The sequence below is a fragment of the Homo sapiens genome, chromosome 20 (genome assembly GCF_000001405.40).
Source record: "Homo sapiens chromosome 20, GRCh38.p14 Primary Assembly".
In the NCBI taxonomy this organism is placed as follows: Eukaryota; Metazoa; Chordata; class Mammalia; order Primates; family Hominidae; genus Homo; species Homo sapiens.
In genome coordinates this window covers 61,873,227-61,893,893 of record NC_000020.11, presented here as the reverse complement: position 1 = coordinate 61,893,893, position 20,667 = coordinate 61,873,227, and the positions used below count along the sequence as shown (strand labels likewise).

The following is a 20,667-nucleotide window of genomic DNA, read 5'->3' as shown; positions in this document are numbered from 1 at the left end:
CCTTTTCTCTTTCCAACCATCACCCATCCATCCATCCATCCATCCACCCAGCCACCCACCCCCACATCCACCATCCCTCTATTCACCCATCCATCCATCCACTCACCCACCCATCCACCATCCCTCTATTCACCCATCCATCCATCCATCCACTCACCCACCCATCCACCATCCCTCTATTCACCCATCCATCCATCCATCCACTCACCCACTCATCCACTATCCCTCTATTCACCCATCCATCCATCTATCCAACCACTCACCAACCCATCCACTATCCCTCTATCTGCCCCACACCCATCGATCCACCCACCTACCCACCCACCCACAATCCCTCTATTCATGCACCCATCCACCATCTCTCTATTCGCCCACCCATCTATCCATCCACCCACCTACCCATCCACCATCCCTCTACTCATCCGCCAATCCGTCTATCCCTCTATTCACCCACCCATCCATTTATCTATCCACTCACCCCTCCATCCACCATCCCTCTATTCACCCATCCATCCATTTATCCCTCTATTCACCCACCCATTCATTTATCCACCCACCCACCCAACCACCATCACTCTATTCACCCACCCATCCATCTATCCCTCTATTTACCCACCCATCCATCTATCCATCCACCCACCCACCCATCCACCATCCCTGTGGTCACCCATCCATCTATCCCTCTATTCAGCCACCCATTCATTTATCCACCCACCCACCCAACCACCATCCCTCTATTCACCCACTCGTCCATCTATCCCTCTATTCACCCACCCATCCATCTATCCATCCACCCACCCATCCAGCATCCCTCTACTCACCCATCCATCTATCTCTCTATTCACCCACCCATCCATCTATCCATCCACCCTCCCACCCACCCATCCACCATCCCTCTACTCACCCATCCACCCATCTATCCCTCTATTCACCCACCCATCCATTTATCCATCCACTTACCTACCCATACACCATCCCTCCCTCCCTCTTTCTACCTTTCCATCCCTCTGTCTTTCTATTCCTTCCTCCTTCCCTCTAAGACCAGCCAGCCCCAAGCCAAACTGGCAGCTGATGAGAGATGGATGAATGAGCCCAGCCAAGGATGGAAGGGTTTTCCAGCTGAGCCTAGCCCAAATTGCCAATTTGTGGAATTGTGAGCTAAATAAATAGAAATAAATGGTGGTTGTTTTAGGCTGCTAAGTTTTGGGATCTTTTATTATGCAGCAAAAGCTCCCTGGCATACATCCAAACCCTCAACATGGCCACAGCACTCCATGTGTCATGGCTGCTAACCCCCTCTGTGGCCTCATCTTGAATCAAGCTCCCCAGCCCCTAGATGTCCCTTTCCCATGGAATTCTCTCCCAGCCCTCCAGCCCAGCATGCTCTCAGCTCAGCCTGCTCTTCATCCATGACTCATTCCTGGCTTGCACTTTTACGTTTATTGTGTCCTCCCTTGATCATTGTCTGTAACCCTTGCCAACCTGAGCTCTGGGGGGCCATGGCTGTCTCATCCATCACCCACTGTGTCTCCAGGGTCAAACGTGGGCCCAACACAGAGTAGGTGCCCCATGACAGCAAGTTAATGTTGCCAATGATTGTGGTGGCAACAGAAGCTCTGAGGAATGACAGAGGGGCCTGGGTGCTCCATAAGGTGTCTGGACAGTCTGTGGACAGCTGTGAGTCACCAACGGGCTTTAAGTGCATCACAGGATCCAACTTATACATGACAGCAAGCGATGGCCTGTGGGCTGAATCTGCGCATCACTATTATTGTAAATAAAGTTTTATTGACACATGGCTATGCTCTTTTATTGACACATTATCTATGGCTGCTTTCACACTCTCAAGGCAGAGCTGAGTATCTGCACAGAGACTGTATGCCCCACAAAACCTAAAATATGGACCACCTGGTACTTTATAGAAGACGTTTGCTGACCTTGGGCTCCAATATCAGGCAGTGTAAGCCACTGCCACCTGGACAGGCCTGAGAGCAAGGCCACAAGCATCTCAGGGAGGGAGGGCTGGGGATCCAGAGGAGGCTTCCAGGAAGAGGCAGTCACACTGCCTGAAGGTGACAGGGTGAACTGAGGGCAGGGCTGGGAGGTGCGGTTGGACCCGGGAGGTGGGAACACGGCAGCCAATCAGGGTCTGGGGTGTTCCACAAGGCCTCCCACCCAGAACAGGGTGACTGTGGCTTGGTGACCAGGCCCAGCCTACATGGGGCCAGGGCTCAGTGCAGTGGGGCGCTGGCTCCTGGGCCCTCCAGCCCCAACATGTGCCTCATCATGCAGCCCTGGCTGTTGTTCTGAGAGATCTCCCTCAAGGAGGCAGGTGTCAGGGGCCTCTCGGAAGGGCAGGAAACTGCTTCTTGGCCCATGCCTGCGTGGTCCCTGCAGCAGATCAGTCACCTGGAGAAGGGGGGAGGACTGCAGCACTCAGAGCTCCTGCAGGGCCGGGGAGAGTGGGCGGCTCAGGCCCCCTGCAGGAGAGGGTTCCAGGGGGAGGCTGTGAGGCTCAGCAGGACAGGGAGGGGCCTGCAGGCTGCAGAGCCGTCAGCAACCTTGGCCTCCTGTATTTGGCAGCCCCCTCTGTAAAATGGGACACGACTGTGTTCTGCTGACCACATAGCCGTGACCAGTTGCTGAGACAGTGAACAGGAACGTGCAGCCCAAACCAGGTTTTCATTATTTCTCTCCCACTGTTGGCTTTCTCCCCTCCCTCGTTACCCCAACATTTGCCCCACATGGCGCCCTGTCTGCACTGTGCACCCCACACCTCCTATCCCTGCCCCTCTGTGCTTGCGGGTGTGTTGTCCCTCTCCCTCCTTCCGCTGGTGAGACCCCACTCTTCCTTCCAAAATGAGCTCCCCTAAAGTCTCTGGAATTGATTTTGCTTCTCTCATTAACCCTGGAGGTGCAGCGTGACCCGGACAGCCACAACCCTGCCCACATCTGCTGTAGGCTGGACTCTCCTGGAAGACCCAGAGTGCCATGAGGACTGAGTCTTGTCCAGCTTTGTGTCCAAAGTGCCAGATACAGACCTGGCACACAGTAGGTAATCGGTGTCTGTTGAGGGAACCAAGTTAATGAGTCGTGTCTAACAGAGCTGACATTTACCAAGATGAATAGAACTTGGAGTCAAGGAGATACAAAAAAAACCAGAAATAGCTTACACTTACTTGGGTGCTATATCCTACTTTGATAGTTTTCTCACAGTAGGTTAACCCTTACCTGCTCCCCTTCTTCCTTTCTCCCTCATCCGTCTACCCATCCCCTTACCCATCCATCCATCCATCATTTACCCATCCATCATCTGCACATCCATCATGCATCATCCACCCATCCATCCATTCATAATCCATCCATCCACCTGTCCAGCATCCATCATCCACCCATGCATCCATCATCCATCCATCCACTCACCCTTCCATCATCCATTTATCCATCCATCCATCCACCCGTCATCTATCCATCCATCATCCATCCATCCATCCACCCATCTACCATCCACCATCTGCTTACCCATCCATTATCCATCTATCCATACATCCATTCACTCACCCATCCATCATCCATCTATCCATCCATCCATCCACCCTTCTATCATCCACCATCTACTTACCCATCCATTATCCATCTATGCATCCATCATGTATCCATCCATCCACTCACCCATCCAACATCCATCTATCCATCCATCATCTATCCATCCATCATCCAACCATCCATTCACCCATCCATCATCTACCATCCACCATCCACTCACCCATCCATGATGCATAATCCATCCATGCATCCATCCATCCATCCATCCATCCACCCATGCATCCATCATCTATCCATCCATCATCCAACTATCCACTCACTCATCCATCATTGATCCATCCACCCATCCATCAGCCACCTATCCATCCACCCATCATCCATCCATCCATCATCCAACCATCCACTCACTCATCCATCATCGATCCATCTACCCATCCATCATCTATCCATCCATCCATTCACTCACCCATCCACCATCCATCTATCCATCCATCCATTATCTATCCATCCATCATCCAACCATCCATCCACCCATCCATCATCCACCATCCACCATCCACTCACCCATCCATCATGCATAATCCATCCATGCATCCATCCATCCATCCATCATCCATCTGTCTGTCCATCCATCCATCATCTATCCATCCATCATCCAACTATCCACTCACTCATCCATCATTGATCCATCCACCCATCCATCATCCACCTATCCATCCATCCATCCATCATCTATCCACCCATCATCCATCCATCCACTAACTCATTCATCATCGATCCATCTACCCATCCATCATCCATCATCCACCATCCACTTACTCATCCATCATCCATCCATCCATCATCCATCCATCATCCACTCACTCATCCATCATCTATCCATCCATCCATCCATCCATCCATGCATCATCCATTCATCTATCACCCATCATCTACCCACCCATCCCTCATCCATCATCCACCATCCACCCACCCATCCATCATCCATCATCCACCATCCACTCACCCATCCATCCATCCATCCATCCATCCATCCATCCATCCATCCATCCATGCTTTAAAGAGACCTCTCCTTATGTCAGGTGGATTACAACCAACCAATAAGGAAGCTGAGGTCCTCTCATCCATCCATGAGATAAGGAAACTGAGGGAGGTGAGAGAGGCTTCTACGGAAGTGCAAGGGGAGCTGGTTGAGGAAGGAAGGTGGGGGCTCACTAGAGGGAGGAGGGAGTGATAGCATGAGCTGCAGGCACAGCAGGGCTGGGGCAGGAGGTATGAGGTGCATGGTGCAGAACAGGGCATTGTTGGGGGCTAATGCAGAGGCCGTGAGGGAGGGGAGAAAGCCAACAATGGGGAGAGAACAATAAAAAAGCATGTTCCTGTTCACTATTTCAGTGACTGGTGTCACACTGCGTGGTCAGTGGAGCTCATATTTCTTTACCATTTACGGAGGGGAAGACTGAGTCCAGTGAGGGCCAGGCAGTCCCATGACCTCCCCAGTTCTACACAGCTGACCAGGGCAGAGCGAGGGGACCGGTCAGGGTCCCTGATGCTGTGTCAGTCTGCGCTTCAGGCCTTTGTTATGGATGGGACTCAGGCAGCACCAATGATGTCCATGGTGACATCAGCCCGATGCCCGCTGGGTCTCCTGAATGTGGGATGGACATCATGGAAACAGCAGAGCTGGCGCCACCCTTGACTGGCTGCTCTTGGCAACCTCAGGGTCAGGATCTGCCTTCTAACTGTGGACCAATGTGTGTCCAGACATTCGCTGGGCCTGAGGCCTTGGACTTCATGGTACTACCCATAGCAGAGGTCCCTTCCCCAAGGTTTCTGTGCCTCAGGATCCCAACAGAAAGAAAATGTGCCCTCCTGTTCATCAAGGCAGAGACCAGCCAGCCCACCTCTGGAAGCTTCCCCACCCTGGCTGTGTTCTCCTTCACCTGTGAGCACCCGGCCCTCCCTTGCAGCGGCTGGACGGAGCCTGAAGGTTGGCTCTGCCTCTAGGTAGGAGGCTGCAGAGATGGGCTGGGGACGGTGCCAGCAGCGGTGGACAGGCTTGCCAATGAGAACCCAAATGTCAGATACCCATGCCACCTTGGTGAGGGGCCGGGATCCTGCCTGCGGAGTCTCATTTCATCCATGTCCCATCTGTGTGTACCGGCAGTGGCGGCGGCTCTGCAGGGATGTGGCTGCATCTCACTTCAGTCCCCGCTCCCCCAGGAAACGGAATCAGGTTTTCTGACAGGGCAGCAGGCAGCCTCGCTGTGGACACTCTTCATTTCTCACCCAAGTTTCTCTTGTTCTTTACAAATCCGATTTTCTTCCCCCTCCCAGGACAGATTTGGAAATTGAAGCTGCAGGGGGCTCTCAGCAGCCTCTTTCCTGGGCGTGATGTCCCCCTCAGGAGGTGCCCCACTGCCTGCCTGCACCGGCCCCCCTCGGCCACCCATCCTGCAGCGTAGGGTCCCCAGGCTGCTCTCAGCTACATGTTTATTTGGCTGTGGCTGCCTCCTCCCGCAGCATGGCACCGCCAGAAGGACCAGACTGGAAAACAGGAGACTGACACGGGCCGGCAGGAAAGGGAGGGATCCAAGCGGAGAAGAATGTCAGCCTGCAGAGAAACTGCTGTCACAGACTTGCGGCATGACATCATTCTCCAAGTCTCCATTTCTTCAGTCATCCAATCAGAGCCGGTTCATGGAAGCCACCCCTGGCTGTGGTGCTTTCAATGTATAGGAAAGAAATGTATTCTTTTCTATATATTGAAAATAAATCAAGCATCGTAGAAACCCAGAGACATGTACAGTGTATTGTGTGTGTGCATGTGTGTATGCGTGCTTGTGCACGAGTGTGCATGCCTGTGTGTGCGTGTATACACACGTGTATGTGTGCACCTCTGTATGCATGTAAACCCACATGTGCATGGATGTGCATGCGTGTTGTGTGTGTGTGTGTGCAGCTGACTGCCACTAGAGGGCAGCTGGGTCTTGATTTCGAGAGGCAGGGCAGGGGTGTCTCCTGGCTGGGTAGGGGCAGGAAGCTAGACCCGCAGGAAGGAAGAACTCTCCCAGGGGACCCCCGGAAGCAGCCAGTGGCCTTCCCGTTGGCAGGGCTTCTGAAGTCCAGGCAGGGTTGGCCTGGCTCCCCTGGGAGCACTGGGGAGGTGGGGTCAGGCTCCTGACCTCATCACTGTGCCCATCTCCCCCTTTTCTGGGATGTTCTCTGGGGTGAGAGGGTGGGTGGGCAGGACCCAGGCATGTGCTCATGAGGCGGTCATGGGAGCTCCTGCAAACAGGCCTCCTTGCAGACGTGGCTGATCTGCATGTAGCGGGCCTGGGCTGGCTTGGCTGGAGGTTTCGACACATTTATCTAAAAGGCTTACATTGGGCTGCTCCCTTTGCCCTCAAGTGCATTTCATTCCTGTGAGGCGGGCAAGGGGAGCCCCACGTTAACCACAGGGCAGGGCCCTGTTCTCAGAAGTGTCTGGCACCTCCTCCCGGTGCCCCAACAGGCCTCGCTGTGTGCAGTCCTCCAAGGGCCCGTGTGGCACAGGGGCACGGCGCCCTCCCACTTTGCAGAAGATGAAGGCCTGGGACTTCCCTGAGGTCAGGGGCTGGTGAGTGCTCTGGAGGCCAGCAAGTGTCTCCCAGCCCTCATAGGACAAACAGATGACCCAGGACTCAGCTCTGGACCAGCGTCCCAGCGTCCTCTCTCCATAGCTGACATGTGCAGCCTCTGCTCCCCACGTCAACCCTCGATGGAGGTGTCTGGGCGGGCAGCGGGAGTCCTGCACAGCTGGGTGTGCCCTGCTGGATGCATGCTCCTGTCCTGGGCTGGGGCCCCTACCCTTCCTGCTTCTGCCAGGTGCAGAGAATTCATTAAAAAGTGATTTGGCCATTTTCAAGTTCAAGAGGAGGGAAGAAAACCACAGTGGGCCATCCCTGGGGTTTTTGCTCACCTCCCCATAGCTCAGCATGTAAATTTTGCAGAACAGCCATCAATAATGCAGGCGGCCAGCCTGCCCTAGAAAGGCATCAAAGCTTCCTGAGTCGAGCGTGCCCTGGCCATACCCAGCATCGGCTGGCCGGCTGCACAGCCAGTGAGGCACCCTGGCAGGAGCCACGCCTGGAACTCAGATCCTGAAGTTCTCCTGGATGCTGCCCCCACCCCAGCCACCATCTAGGGATGGTCTCATCTGCCAGGCTGCAAGCACGCCTCCCCCACCTGCTCTGGGCTCTCTGCACCTAGAGGCGGTACATATGGGGGTATAAAAGGAGTCCCAAGGCCCTGTAGCCCAGGCTTGCAGATGCCCTGCATCCCTTCCTTCTGGGTGAGCCAGAGCCAGTCCCAGCACGACGGCGGCTGCTGCTCTGGGAGCTTCTCCAGCTCCTCTCAGGTCAGCGCTGTTCCCACTGCTTCCTCCTGGACCACACACTCCCCAAGGGCCTTCCCTGCTGTCACTGCTGGAACCTCCATCCCCTTGGAAGCTGCGAGATGGAGCAGACAGAGATCTGGGTCCTGCTCTCCGTCTCATCCTCAGGCTGCACAGCACCTGGGGTCTGTCCGGAGCCTGAGAATGTGACTCCGGCATGAAGATTAGATGCTGTGGGAGGAGGGAGTGCAGGCACCACGGAAAACAGGCTGGCGGGTCCTCACAAGTCAAGAGTCACCACGGGGCCTGGCAGCTCCGCTCCTGGGTATGTATCCAAAAGAGCTCAAACCAGGGGTTCTGACAAACACTTACACGCCCTCGTTCAAAGCAGCGCCATTAACAGCAGCCAAAAGGGCCGAACAGCCAAGGGTCCATTGAGCGATGAATGGACAAAGAGAACGTGGTTGCCCCATGCAGCGGAATATTATTCAGCCATTAAGAGGCATGAAACGCAGACACGAACTACCACGGTGACGCTCGGTGAGAGACACCAGACACGAAACGCCATGCATGGAAGGAGCCCACTTACAGGAAATGTCCAGAATAGGCAAATCCGTAGAAGCAGAAAGAAGATTTGGGGCTGCCAGGGGCTGGGGGAGCTGGGGGTAAGGGAGTCGAGGAGAAATGGGATGGTTCTGGGGTGATGGAAGAGTCCTGGAGCTAAGTCAAGGTGATGGTTGCACAACCTTGTGACCACTGAACCCCGCTGAAGCGTACAGTTAAAGGGTGTGTTTGGTGGCGTGTGAGCTCCCTCTCAAGGCACAGGCACGAACGTGCTATGTGTCGACTTCAGTCCCCGCTGCCTTGCAGGGGCCCGAGGGACTCAGCACCCTATGTCCACTCTAGCATGGATCACCGAGCTGGTGGGGTGGGGGCTGCCTCTGGCTGGCAGTCGTTCTGGCCAGATTCTGTGCTGGGCCTGCAGACTGACCCTTAGGCTATCAGAGAAGGGACTCTCCAGGCTGAAGGGACCTGGGGCCTACCCTATGCCTACTCTTAGCCCGGGGCTCCAGCCGGTGTCCCAACCCCGCACCTCCCGCTACAGGCTGAGTCCCTCTCCAGGAAGCCTTCCCCGCCCCCACCCCAGGGCTCTCTCCTTCCTCCAAACCCCTCAGCCCTTCGGGGCTGCTGCTGTTCTGGGAGGAGGTGCTGCCTGGGTGGCACATTCCACCTGTCCAGGTGAATTTCCCGGGCACCCAGGAACTAGCAGCAGCCGCCCCCGAGGTGAGGTGCTCAGCCCTTCAGCCTTCAAATGCAGGTCCGGGGGTGCGGAGGGCTCCTTTCTGAGGTTCCCTCGCCTGGGGTGGGGAGGGGCTGAGCATGGAGCCCCTCGCTGGGTGCCCCCAGGCTGTCACCGAGAGATCACCCCTGCTCAGGGGCACGGCCACACGGGGAGCCCCAAGGGGTGCCATCTTCCCTCCCTCCCTCCTGAACACCCTGCTCACCCCTTTAAACTCGTGGACCGTCCACTGCCACTGTCTCTCCCTCACCACTTCTGGCTCCGCAGACTTTGCCTCCTGCAGGATGAGGGGCTGAAAACCAGGGACCCGGCCCCTTAGCTGTCCGGGTTGCTGCGTGGAAGGAAGCGTGTCTCACTCAACCTTCTGCTCAGCTGCCCTTTGCACAGCCAGGACAGTGACGTGCAGCTGCCTCAGCTCTTGTGGGTTTTATGACCCCTTGGGGCCTCCGGTGTCCCTAGCTCTGGCCGTGTTCACTGGTGGCCCAGAGCCTCTGCACTGCGCCCCACAAGCCCAACTCCAGCAGACCCTCCCCTCTCACTCTACAGCCAGGTTTGCTTTCTGCTGTGCTGAGCTGGATCAAACCCAGAGAAAACACCAGCATTTCCCAGTTCCAGGCAGCGAGTCCCAGTTCCAGGCAGCGATTCCTCCCTCGGCCTGCTGTTGGGGGCAGGGGAGGCCACAAAGAAAGTCTCTGCTTCCTAAATCCACAAAACCCACCACACGGGGGTTGGGGGGTGGGGATGCTGGGACCCTCTTGCTTCCCCCTCTCTCTGTCTGTCCGTCTGTTTCTCTGTCTCTCGCATTCTCTGCTGGGCACAGAGGGAAGAGGAGCTGCCAGGAATGACTGCTGGTGATTAGAAGAGTCTAGATGTCTGGGAGGAACAAGATGGAGGCAGGCAGGGGAGGTCCCGTCAGTCCAGCAGGCGCTGGGGGCTCCTCCCTGGGGCCTCTCTTGGCCCCCCACCCCTGGGTCATAGAGGAGAACACTTCCCTCTCCAGGGGCCGGGCAGTCACACCCGACTGTGGAGGGCCACGTGCCTGAGCTCTCCAGTGGCCTGGGGTTTCTGAGCCATAAGTTCCAGTGGCTCTTGGAGCCCTTGCCCTCCTGTGGCTGATGCTCTGGGGAAGCTTTTCCCAAATTGGGCACTGTCAGCCCTGGGGCTGGGTCGTTCTCTGCTGTGGGGTGTCCTGGGCACTGAGGGGTGCTGAGCATTCCTGGCCTCCACCCATGCAATGCTGGTGGTGCCCCCCACCGAGCTGTGACAACCACAGATACCACCACTTGCCCAGTGTCCCAAGAAAGACGTCGCCCTAGGTTGGAAGCATGGCTCTAGGGGAGGAGACCGACAGCAAATAGCAAAGAGTATCATATCAGCTGGGGACAGAGGCCGTGTAGAAAACACAGCAGGAGAGAGGGACAGGGCACTCAGTGCACTACATTAAACCGGGCGGCAGGCAGGGCTGTTTGCCAGGCAGACATGTGGCTGTCGAGCTGTGGAGGTCTCGGGAGGAATGCTGTAGGCGGGGGGAGCAGCCAGCGAGAAGGCCCTGGGGCAGGCGGGGTGGGCTTGGGGTGCCGGGGGAATGGGGCCGGGTTCATTTCTCATTTCTGGGTGAGACAGGAAACCGTGGTGGGGTTTGAAAAGACAAGAGCTCAGATTGGTGTTTGAACAGGATCACTGGGCTTCTGGGCGTGGACAGAGCAGGAGATGCGCAGAGGCTGGGGCATGTGCTCCGTGGTCTGAGTGGCTTCCGTCGGGTGTGGGGGAGACAGTGGACATAAAAGAGAAGGAAAGGCACCTGCGGGGCCGGCCGGGTGACTTCTCAGAAGATAGGAAGGGGCGGGGGGCTGGGGCGGCCCATGCCACCTGGGGTGCCGGGAAACCCTCGGGAATATCCAGCCCTTCCGCAGACACGTTCCCTCTCCCATTCTCCTGAGACGCACGGGCCTTTTTGTCTTTCATTTTCTCACTTTTGATAGACCTAGAGGAAGTATTTCTCTACGGCAGGGAAAACAGCCGCACACAGTGACTCAGGGAGCATCCTGGGCCTGGCGTCGGAACCCCGGGAGGGAGGGGCTGCACCCCCCGGGCCAGGGGCTTCAGAGCCCTGGGTGGTCACTCCCTTAGCCCAGGCCTCCTGGTGCCTTGCAGGAAAGCAGGCCCCGTGACCAGAGGTCCTGAATCTTGAGAGAATCCAGAAGGCGGGATTTGAATAGAAATCTCTCGTTTCGATGTTGACCGAGTTAAAACAAGATTAATACAAACTGCACCTCTGTGGTGGGACCTGTCTCTGGGTTTGAGACCCTGGATCTGACCACCAAAGGGGCCGTGCCGCTGAGGGCACAGATGAAATCCCCGCTCCTTCCTCCTAAGTAACCTGGCTTTCACGTCATGGTGCCATCCTGGAGCGTGGCACCGCCCACGTGCAAATGGTCAGCCACGCTGTGTGCCAATAAAGCCTCAGCACAAAGCCAGACACAGGCTTCTCGGCAAAAGGGACTGGGTCTGGCTGCTTCCTGTCAGGGTCTGGTCAAATGAGGTGGCTTAAAGACAGCAGTCCGGAAGGCCAGAGGTTCGAGGTGGAGGCGCGGGCAGGGTCCGGCTCCATCCAGGGGCTTGAGGGAGGACCTGTCCTGCCTCTTCCACCTCCTGGCGGCTCCAGGCACCCTTGGCTTGTAGCCTTATCGTCTGGTCTCTGCCTCGGTCTCCATGCAGCCTTCTCCCCTGTGTCTCCCTCTGCCTCTGTAAGGATTTAGGGTCCACCCCAATGCAGACGATTTTATCTCCAGATCTTTACACCTGCAAAGGCCCCTTTTCCAGATAAGGTCACGCTGCCAGGGATCAGGGTGTGGATGTAGCTTTTCTGGGGACCACGATTAAACCCAGTCCAGATGCTGATTGGGCCAGGTCTGTGGCTGGGCCAGTGGCCCCCAGGGGACCTGGACTTCCGGCTGTGACGGGTTCTCACTCCTCCCCACCTGCAGTCCCCCACGTGCCGCCCCCTCCTCTTCCTGCCCTCTGCCTGGCGCTGGCCCTTCTCAGATGGAGACGTTGGCCTCTGCTCCAGCTACGACCCCAGCCGCCTGGGCCCAGTTCCAAAGGCAGATGAACAGCGGTCGACTAATTGACCACTGGAGGCTCTGAGGCGGGAGTCTTGGCCGCTGCTGCCAGGTGGGGCCGTAATCCTGGCCACGGTTCATGTTGTGGCCGGCTCACGGGAGCGGCTCGCTGGGGAGCTGCACCATGAAATGGTTTATTTCTTCCGCAGCCACGGCTTCTCTCTCCTGCAGCCCTGCCCGGGACCACACTTGGCACTTTGGTTACGAAATGCCACCGCTGGAATGGAGCCTCCTCTCAGACTCCATGGCCATCGTCTCCCCTCCCTTCGCAGCGCAGCTTCCTGAGGCACGGAGATCACCCCGTGTGCACGTGGCCCCACGGTGGGAGAACTGCTCAGGGGCTGCAGGCTCATCCTCCAGTGGCGTCCGTGGATGGAGGAGCTGTCCTGACCCTGCTCTGCTGTGACCCCGCTCAGCATGGCTGACACTCATGCCCTGTGGCCGCAGGAACCCTACATGCTGGTGGGTGTAAGGGGCACTCAGCTTCCTCACCAGGGAGGGACCTCTTGGCAGGAAGTGGCCTGAGTTGGTTGGGGGTCACCTGGGCCATCCTGTGGCTCAGCCCCCTCCTCTGCCATCCAGGGTCCCCCATGAAACCAGGTCACCATTAGCACCGCTGTTATTGCCCTCCTGGGGCCTGGGGGGCCCTCACTCTAACTCACTGGCACCTCTTCTCACCTTGCTGGGTGGCCACACCTGCCAGCTCTGGCCTTTGGAAACCTTGAGACAGCAGTGGTGGGCGCCAGCTCACGTGTGGCCCAACCTTCAGAGCACGCACTGCCCAGCGTGCCTGGGAACCTCATCCTGTGTGGGGACCGCGCCCAAACCTCGACCCTCTCTCTGCATCCGACCCTCACCCCCAAGGCCAGGGGTGGCGGCCTCTGCGTCCTGGGGGTGACCTGCTGGCCTGGGGTCCTCTTGGGGCTGCTCAGTGCCCCACACTTGGGGGACGCCATGGGACTCGGGAGCCGAGGCCTCTGTTTCGGAGGGAGGTGGAAGCCCCAAGATGACGGCTCCTTGGCTGGGTCCACCTTCTCACCGCTGTCCTTCCCTCTCTTCTCTTCTTTTGGGAGGGGGCGGAGGGGAGATCAAGAAGACTTCAGGGGCACAAATCCGGCCCGAGGTGGGTCAGCAGCAGATTTGTCTCAATTGCTAATATTTTTTTTTCTGCAAGACAACATAGCCATATTCGGTGTCTTCAAAACAGGGTTCCATGACAGTGATTCAAAACCCAGCCAGCGGGAAACGCTGAACCCCGCCTGCCCCAGGCTACTGCCCTCCCCAGGCAGATGCCTCTGGGTGGGGCTTACGAGAGGCTCGCTGTCTGGGAGAAATGCCTTCAGAAAGCCACGCCGCTCTCAGAGGGAAAGGGGACATTCTGGTCACCGACGAACACTTTCTACTGGAATTTGAATCATGTGAATACATTAACTAAAGTCGATGGTGGTGAGAACGATATCCTGAGCAGTAGAACAGAGCCACGTTATCACTCTCCATCCATTGGATGACAGCACCGGGCGGGCAGAGGGTCTTGAAGACGTTCGGGGAGGTGTGGGTTTTGCTTTCCCCAGAATCCTTTCAGACCAGGAGATCACGAATTCGGCCCCCCTTGTTTGGGAAGAAATTTCAAGCTGATGGAGGTGACCAGGTGATAGTCCTCTTGTGATAGGACCGGAAGGCCGGATTCAGTTTCTAATAACAAAATCAACATCCTCGGGAGCAGCCTGGAAGGGACGCTGAGAACAATGCTGGCCCGGTGCTAATTTCACTGCCCAACAATCGGAACAGCGCCTGCGTCTGCAGAGCCCACTCTCACCTTCAGGACGGGGCTCGGGCGGCACGTTCACCTCCTCATTAGGCCATAAATATTCTAATTAGGAAACAACGCCAGATGAATAGGATTAGCAAGTGGGGCATCTTCGGCTGGTACACGAGAGACACTTGAACCGCTCAGGTCTTATCGAAGCCTCTCCTGACATCTTAATCAAGTAGAAGCGCTCAATTTACATAGCTCTGCCTAATTAGACACGGCGGCAATGATGTTTGTGGATTTTCTTCTTCCTAAAGATGACTCACTCTGTCAGATGGAGGCTGGTGCTGAGAAGTATCTCTGGTGCTTCCCCCGAAGACTCTGCTTGTTGCCCAAGGGCAGGGGAGATGAATCTTTTTAAAGGGGGAGGAAGAGAAAAAGGAACTACCGATGTGTCCTTTTCAGAAGTGGCTGAGCTGTCCGGCCGATGCAAGGCAAGCTGGGCTGGTGGAGAAATGGTCCCGATGTGTGCTCTTCTCTGATACGCCAAGCCAGACAGAAATCAGCTTCTCGGGCTCAGCAGGCCTGGGCCCAGGGGGGCAGTGGCTCTGCTGGGTGAAGGCCGGGTCCCGGGGGAGCTGAACTGGTGCTCGCTTGGCGTCTACACTGCTGTCAGTGGCCGCCTGCGTGGGTTTACTAATGCCTGGCAACGGTGGTCCTGGAGCCGTTGTCTTAAAACCTGTTGTTGTTTTATTGTTTGCTGCTGAAAATCCGACAACGTGCATCCTCTGCTGCAGAAGCGGTTATAATTATAAACCATCATTCAATTTCCCCAGGAGGTGGGCGAAGGAAGAGCAGGGCAGCTCTGAACATTAAGCACAGACCCACACTGAAAGCAGAGCCCTGGCGAGGGGCGCCCTGGCCTCGGCACACCCCCGCCGAGTCTTTGGCAGCTTCCAGGACTTCTATTCCGAGGCAAAGGCGAAAAAGTGGGAGAGACTGTGTGCAAGGCGGGAGACAGGACCTGGAATGGCTGAGCGGGCAGAGTGGGGTGGCCAATGCCAGGGCCCTGCGTCTCCTCCGGCCAAGGGGTCACAAATTCAGAGGTCACCTACGACTTTGAGACTATGCCATAAACTGCTGCAGAGACTGGCCCAAGGGGATGACCTCTCCATGTCTGGGGAGGGAAGCCCGCCTCAATGTCCCCACTGGGAGGGGCTGCTGAAGACCTGGGGCCAGGCGGGGGCCCTGGGACATGGCTGCTGCGTGCTGGAGGCAGCTTCCCTAATGGAAGCCCTCGAGCTGGTGCCTTTAGAAGGGGAAACAGACTTGTTTGCACAAGGAAAATAACGTGGAAATGACATGAACACCTTTGGTTCTGCTCACGAGAAGCCCTGAGGGCGCCCAACACTGTCTCTGTACCCAAATGGAGCCAGCTGCAGGCCACGCCTGGGTCTGTCTCAGATTCAAGACCCACAGCCACCTTCCAGCCGGGGGCTGCATTGAACCTGGGGAGGGAGCAGCTCAGGGACCTGGATGTTCCTAGGCTTGGGCTCGGTTTGAAAGGGGCAGGGGGAACAGAAGGTGGGAGGGGTCCTGCTGCCGGGCACGTGCTGCCCATGAAGGTCTTGTTTTGATCGTGGCTGGAAATGAGGACGCCATGGCCACGATGGGGCCTTAGCTTTGCCCCAGCTGCCCCAGGCCTACAGCTCAGCTCCTGGCCACTCACGCAGGCCAGGGCCTGTTGTCCTCTCTGGGATGACCACGCCCGTCTGTGTCCACGAAGTCCTCCCTCTGGGGCCCCCGTGGTTCCTGGTGATGACCCTGTCACAGTCTGCTTGGGGCCGGGCCTCATTTGGGTTACACCTCATCCCCTGCCTGGGGGTCCTCCCAGCCAAAGACGCGTTGTCACACAATGGACCCCAGGGACGTTCCGGGGGTCATGGCCCCAAAGTCCAGCCCCATGACCGTCCCCTGAGCCCCTGAACCATGGCTCTGCTGTCCCCCCACGATGCTGGTCCACATGGGGGTCCCAGGTTTCACTGCATCAACCAGCTTGTTTCACACGCACAAGACAGAAACTGATCTTCCTGGAATCGAATGTTAGCAGCTGAAGGATCATCAAGGAAAATAACCACACAACCTATGTTCCCGACGAGCCCTGGAAGAGGAAGACACGGGACCGCCCTCTCCAGCACACCACGCCTGAGATGCACCAGACGGGGCCTCCCGTCGGATAGAAGCCGGGCTGTTCACATCCCCAGGCACACACAGCGGAGAACGCCAGCGCCCGCAACACCAGCGTCTCCTCATGTTCCTCAATCTTCATAAATCTCCGTCTGTCAACCACACCTCTAATGGCTTTTAAATGAGCATTTTATGTGGAACATTTTGCAGGCCACGCTGAAGCTGCCGACAGCGGGGGGTGGGGGGTGGGGGGTGGGTACCGCTCTGTGTCTGCTGTGGGCCTTGGGGAGCAGGCTGGCCCCGCCTTGCCTCGGTGTCTGGCCTGGGCAGGGGGTCCAGCTGCCGGGTCAGCCTCACTGGGGCCTGGCCAGTGGGTGGGGAGATCTCTGGGTGGCTGGGACTGCTAGCCCTCCCTTGGCCGAGCTGCCATGATCTGTAGGGGCAGGGGGAGCTGAGCCCAGGAGGCTGGGCACTGTCCCTATCACGGGCCTTGACATGCCCACAGGAATGCCTGGCCCAGGGAGGCCAGGGGGTGTCCCTCCCGTAGGGTGCACCAGGCCAGCTGGGGGAACCCCAGGGGGTCGTGGGCTCCGTGGCGCTCTTGATCCCTCCCAAGGTCAGAGCCTGCACCCATACTAACTGCCGGGGCCTTGTGAGATTTTCAGCTATGAAGAGGGGTCCACAGATGTTGCCTAGATATATTTTCAGCCTGGAAAATATCACATATTCTTTCCTACAATATAAACTACAAAGTACCCCAGACCTCCCAGCCCTCCACCCGGCAGTGGGAAAGCTTTAGCTGTTTGTCTTTAGTCCCTTTATCTATAGACATTCGTGCTGAAGGAGACCAGATGGTCCTGAAGCCACAGGGACCCCCTCAACCCCACTGGAAACCAGAGGGAGGGCGGACCGACACGAAACCAGTGCAGGCCAGAGCAGGTGGCCTATGGTCCCCTTTAGATCCCCAGCTTATCATTATAATACGAAAACCCCGGCCCTAAGGGAAGACTGCTGCCATGTTGTACACCAGATGTAAGAAGAGATGTGTTCATGGACTGCGTCTGCACGTCTAGAACCCTCCGCACGCCTGCATGCCTCCCCTGCAGGCACCCAATCCCGTGAAACTCCCACACCTTCCCCTTCCCAGTTCTCCGGTCGCTCAGTAGAACCAGCTGCCTCTCCAATTGGACGTTGCTCTCTCGCGGCCGATATAGAGTAGGGAGAGAACGGTTTCCTGCGGCCAGCATGCAGCCAGCCATGCCCCTGCACTGGGACTGGACGGCGAGGCCCCATCGGATCTCCCTAAGCATCCCCACTGCCCTTTTGGCCCCTGTGCTTTCCCCGTCACACACCAGGAGCTGATGGCACGCAGGTGGGGCAGTCTGTGGGCTCTAGGTAACCCCTGACCCTGCCCCTGCAAGGGGCCATCCCAGAGGTGCCGGCGCTCACAGGCCTGACCCTTGCTCGGCTGTCCTGTCCTCTCCTTGGACACAGCCGGCAGCCGTGCCATCCCATCTGTACCTCTGGAGCATCACGTGTGTGGGAGTGTGTGGACAGGGGCTTGCACGCACACGCTCCAGTCAGACCACCTGCTCTGCCAAAAGCTGTGCAAACGTCCCAGAGAGGTGCCAGCCTGTGGAAACGAGCTGCTCACAGGTGTGTGTGTGTGTGTGTGTTGGGGGAGCGCAAACAGGGGCTGCCCTCTCTCCCCAGGGCAGGCGGGGGACCCCAGGCTACAGAGGAGATGGGGGACGGTATCTGGTTCCTGTACATCTGTATGGGCCTCACTAACAGCACTCCTGACTCGGCCATGTGCCCATGGGATCATCTCCCTAGCTGAATGACGGGACCAGGGCCAGGTGCAGCTCATCTGCAAAGCCTTGTCTGAGCGGAGCGGGCGCTGGTTCATGGCCACTGGAGGGCGGTGGGGCCTCAGCGGATCCTGCAGTCCTGAGGTGAAGGTGCTGGGACTGACCACAGCTCACTCGGAGCCCCAGGCATTCTGGCCAACATCACTCTAAGAACGTTTATGTAAATCCTGCATCAAAAGTCCTCGCCTGTGCCATCCGTGCCAGCCCTCACGCTGCCTGCCACACGACTCCATCTCTGATCCTTGGAGTCCAAGGCTGTCATCATCCTTCTGTCTCTCAGATGAAAGGTGCCACGGCTGGGGCTGACAACGTCCTCTGCTGTGCGGGTCTGAGTCCTGAGCCCGTGCTGAACCCGGCGGCCACCTCGCCTTCCCCGCAAGCCGCATGGCTGCCAAGGGTTACCCCCCAACTGGCCTCTCTGCCCCCATGTGTTACCCTGGGCACCACCCCCTTACGATTTAGGAATTTCCAGGAAATCCCCTTTGTGCTCTTCCCAGGGACAGAGACGGGTGGGATTTTCCAGGCTGCAGCTTGGCTTTGGTTGATTTGAAAGGCGGGGATGAAGACAGCACTGCAGGTGAGTCTTGGTTTTTGGAGAAGAGGCAGAAACTGGAGGCCCCGGGGGGTCCCACAGCCCCAAACCTGGAAGGAGGACCTGCCACTTCCTTGCCAGTCCCGGCCCCAAAAGCGACACCAGCAAGCCCCGGTGACAGGTTGGCAGCCCCAGCTTGCAGTGGGGTCCCCGCACACCCAGAGCTCGAGGGCCGTGACGCACTCAGAAGCCGCCAACTTGGAGCAGAAGGGTTGAGGCCAGCAAGACCGAGGAGCTGCCAGAAAGTGGCGCTGTGGCCTCTGGAAACAAGCCTCCCGCGGGCAGGGCTGCACTGGCTGTGAGCCCAGCGAGGTGGCTCTACCGGCTCCTGGGAGCCAAATGCCTCAGAGGGTAAATTACGTCTGGAATGACACTGGCCTCTGTGGGCACAGTGCAAACAGGAGACCAGACAGCGAGACCTGGAGATGGGGAAGGCAGGCGATGCCCTGTCCTGGGCACCTGGGGACTCAAGGTGCTGCTGGTGGGGCGCTTTCAGCCCCAGGGGCGGGTGGTGAATCTTCTGGGAACGCACAGCCCAGTGCTGGAGATGCGCCTGCACTTGACAAGCTTCAGAGCAGAGGCAGGCCCCCGACCTCACCCACCGCCCAGGGCCTCCCTCTGGGGTCTGTCTCTGAGTGGGGCGGGCACTTGAGATGAAGGGGTGGAGGGAGGCCTCTGTCACAAAAGCCTCGTAGGACCGCAGGACAGTGCAGGAGGTGGGAGCGCATGGAACCCAGCACCAACCAGCAGCCCATTCATTTGGCTGTGATGGTTTCAGGCTGTGTGAAAAGCACTGCTTCTCCATGCCCCCTTCGTCACAGCCAGGCCGCCGCAGCCTGGGTGGGGTGGGTCTCCTTGGAGGTGCCAGGCCCAGAAGGGGTGGGTTTCAAGGCAGGCGTGTGTGTTCAGGTCCTGAGAGGGGCTGTCAGAGCACCCCAGACCCCGAGTGCAGCTGCGGCTAGACCCCGAGACCCCAGCGGGTGGTCCCTGCTTTTCTGAGGCCTCCGCCCATAGCCACACGCACCAGCTGGGCCTGTTCTGGAAATCTCACAAGGACTCGCTCATAGCAGCCGGTGCTGAGTGCTCCAGAGCCTCCTTTGCTGAGTCTCTCCCATGGCAAGAGAGTGCCACTGGGGAGACTGTCGATCACTCCCCGACGGCGCCACTGGAGAGGCTCCCCGAGGGTCCTGTGGGTGTCCTGCGGGGACCAGGAGCTCACCCGCCTGCACGCAGACCCCACCCCGCCTCACCTCTCGGTCCAGGCCAGCCGCCACTGTGACGATATCTCCAGTCTCGCTGTTGATGGTGAACATATTCTGGGACGGGCTCTGTGGGGTCTGGGTCACGATCCGGTACCGCACCATCCCGTTGGCCGTGGTGCTGTCGTCAGCATCGTTGGCCGTGACGGTCATCACGTAGGTGCCTGGAACGGAGACAGCAGCTCAGATGGGGATGGCCTGCCACACAGGCTGCCACCCCCGCACACACCTGGGCAGAGCCCCCCGACCACAGAGCTCTCCGTGAGTCTGGCGTAGCGGAACCCCCTTCCTCTCGGCGTGTTCAGAGGTGGTGTTAGTGCACCTGCCGCCTCCACCCCACCTTATAGAATCATAGAAGGATTTCTTCTAGAGCTTGAGGTTCCTTTGAGGTCATCTGCTCTGACCTCTTCCTTTTTTGGCTGGGGAAAGACCAGGCCTCGGAGGAGGAAGAACTTCTCTAAGCTTCCAGAGCCTGGGGCAGCAGAGCAGGCCTGGAGCCGGGTGGCCTGAGGCCCCGACAGTGCGTCCAAGGTGCTTCCACTCCTGCAGGGAGCCCAGTGTGGTTGGGCTTAAAGGAAGGGACTCAGGCACTGAAGCAGGGCCTGGTATAGGTCTGGACACACAGAAGCTGTATAATAAACACTGCAGAGGACACAGTGGAAAAC

General features: G+C 57.8%; 1 protein-coding gene across 5 annotated transcripts in view, besides 3 other annotated features; it reads right to left on the bottom strand.

Annotated features, from left to right (window-relative positions):
• CDH4 (cadherin 4) overlaps window positions 1-20,667 on the bottom strand; it is a 688,357-nt gene that overhangs the window by 46,724 nt on the left and 620,966 nt on the right. For all 5 annotated transcript variants that reach the window (NM_001794.5, XM_047439812.1, XM_047439813.1 and 2 more), the window contains one exon: window positions 19,994-20,166. In NM_001794.5, coding sequence (NP_001785.2) covers window positions 19,994-20,166 — 173 coding nt within the window. The remainder of the gene's footprint in view (window positions 1-19,993; window positions 20,167-20,667) is intronic.
• Window positions 1,892-2,391: an enhancer, noted in NCBI's record as "H3K4me1 hESC enhancer chr20:60466559-60467058 (GRCh37/hg19 assembly coordinates)". NCBI's record gives its function as "activates a minimal SCP1, AML or CMV promoter by ChIP-STARR-seq in naive H9 embryonic stem cells {active_cell/tissue: H9 hESC(naive)}" and the evidence as "EXISTENCE:reporter gene assay evidence [ECO:0000049][PMID:30033119]".
• Window positions 14,283-14,783: an enhancer, noted in NCBI's record as "H3K4me1 hESC enhancer chr20:60454167-60454667 (GRCh37/hg19 assembly coordinates)". NCBI's record gives its function as "activates a minimal SCP1, AML or CMV promoter by ChIP-STARR-seq in primed H9 embryonic stem cells {active_cell/tissue: H9 hESC(primed)}" and the evidence as "EXISTENCE:reporter gene assay evidence [ECO:0000049][PMID:30033119]".
• Window positions 14,784-15,284: an enhancer, noted in NCBI's record as "H3K4me1 hESC enhancer chr20:60453666-60454166 (GRCh37/hg19 assembly coordinates)". NCBI's record gives its function as "activates a minimal SCP1, AML or CMV promoter by ChIP-STARR-seq in naive H9 embryonic stem cells {active_cell/tissue: H9 hESC(naive)}" and the evidence as "EXISTENCE:reporter gene assay evidence [ECO:0000049][PMID:30033119]".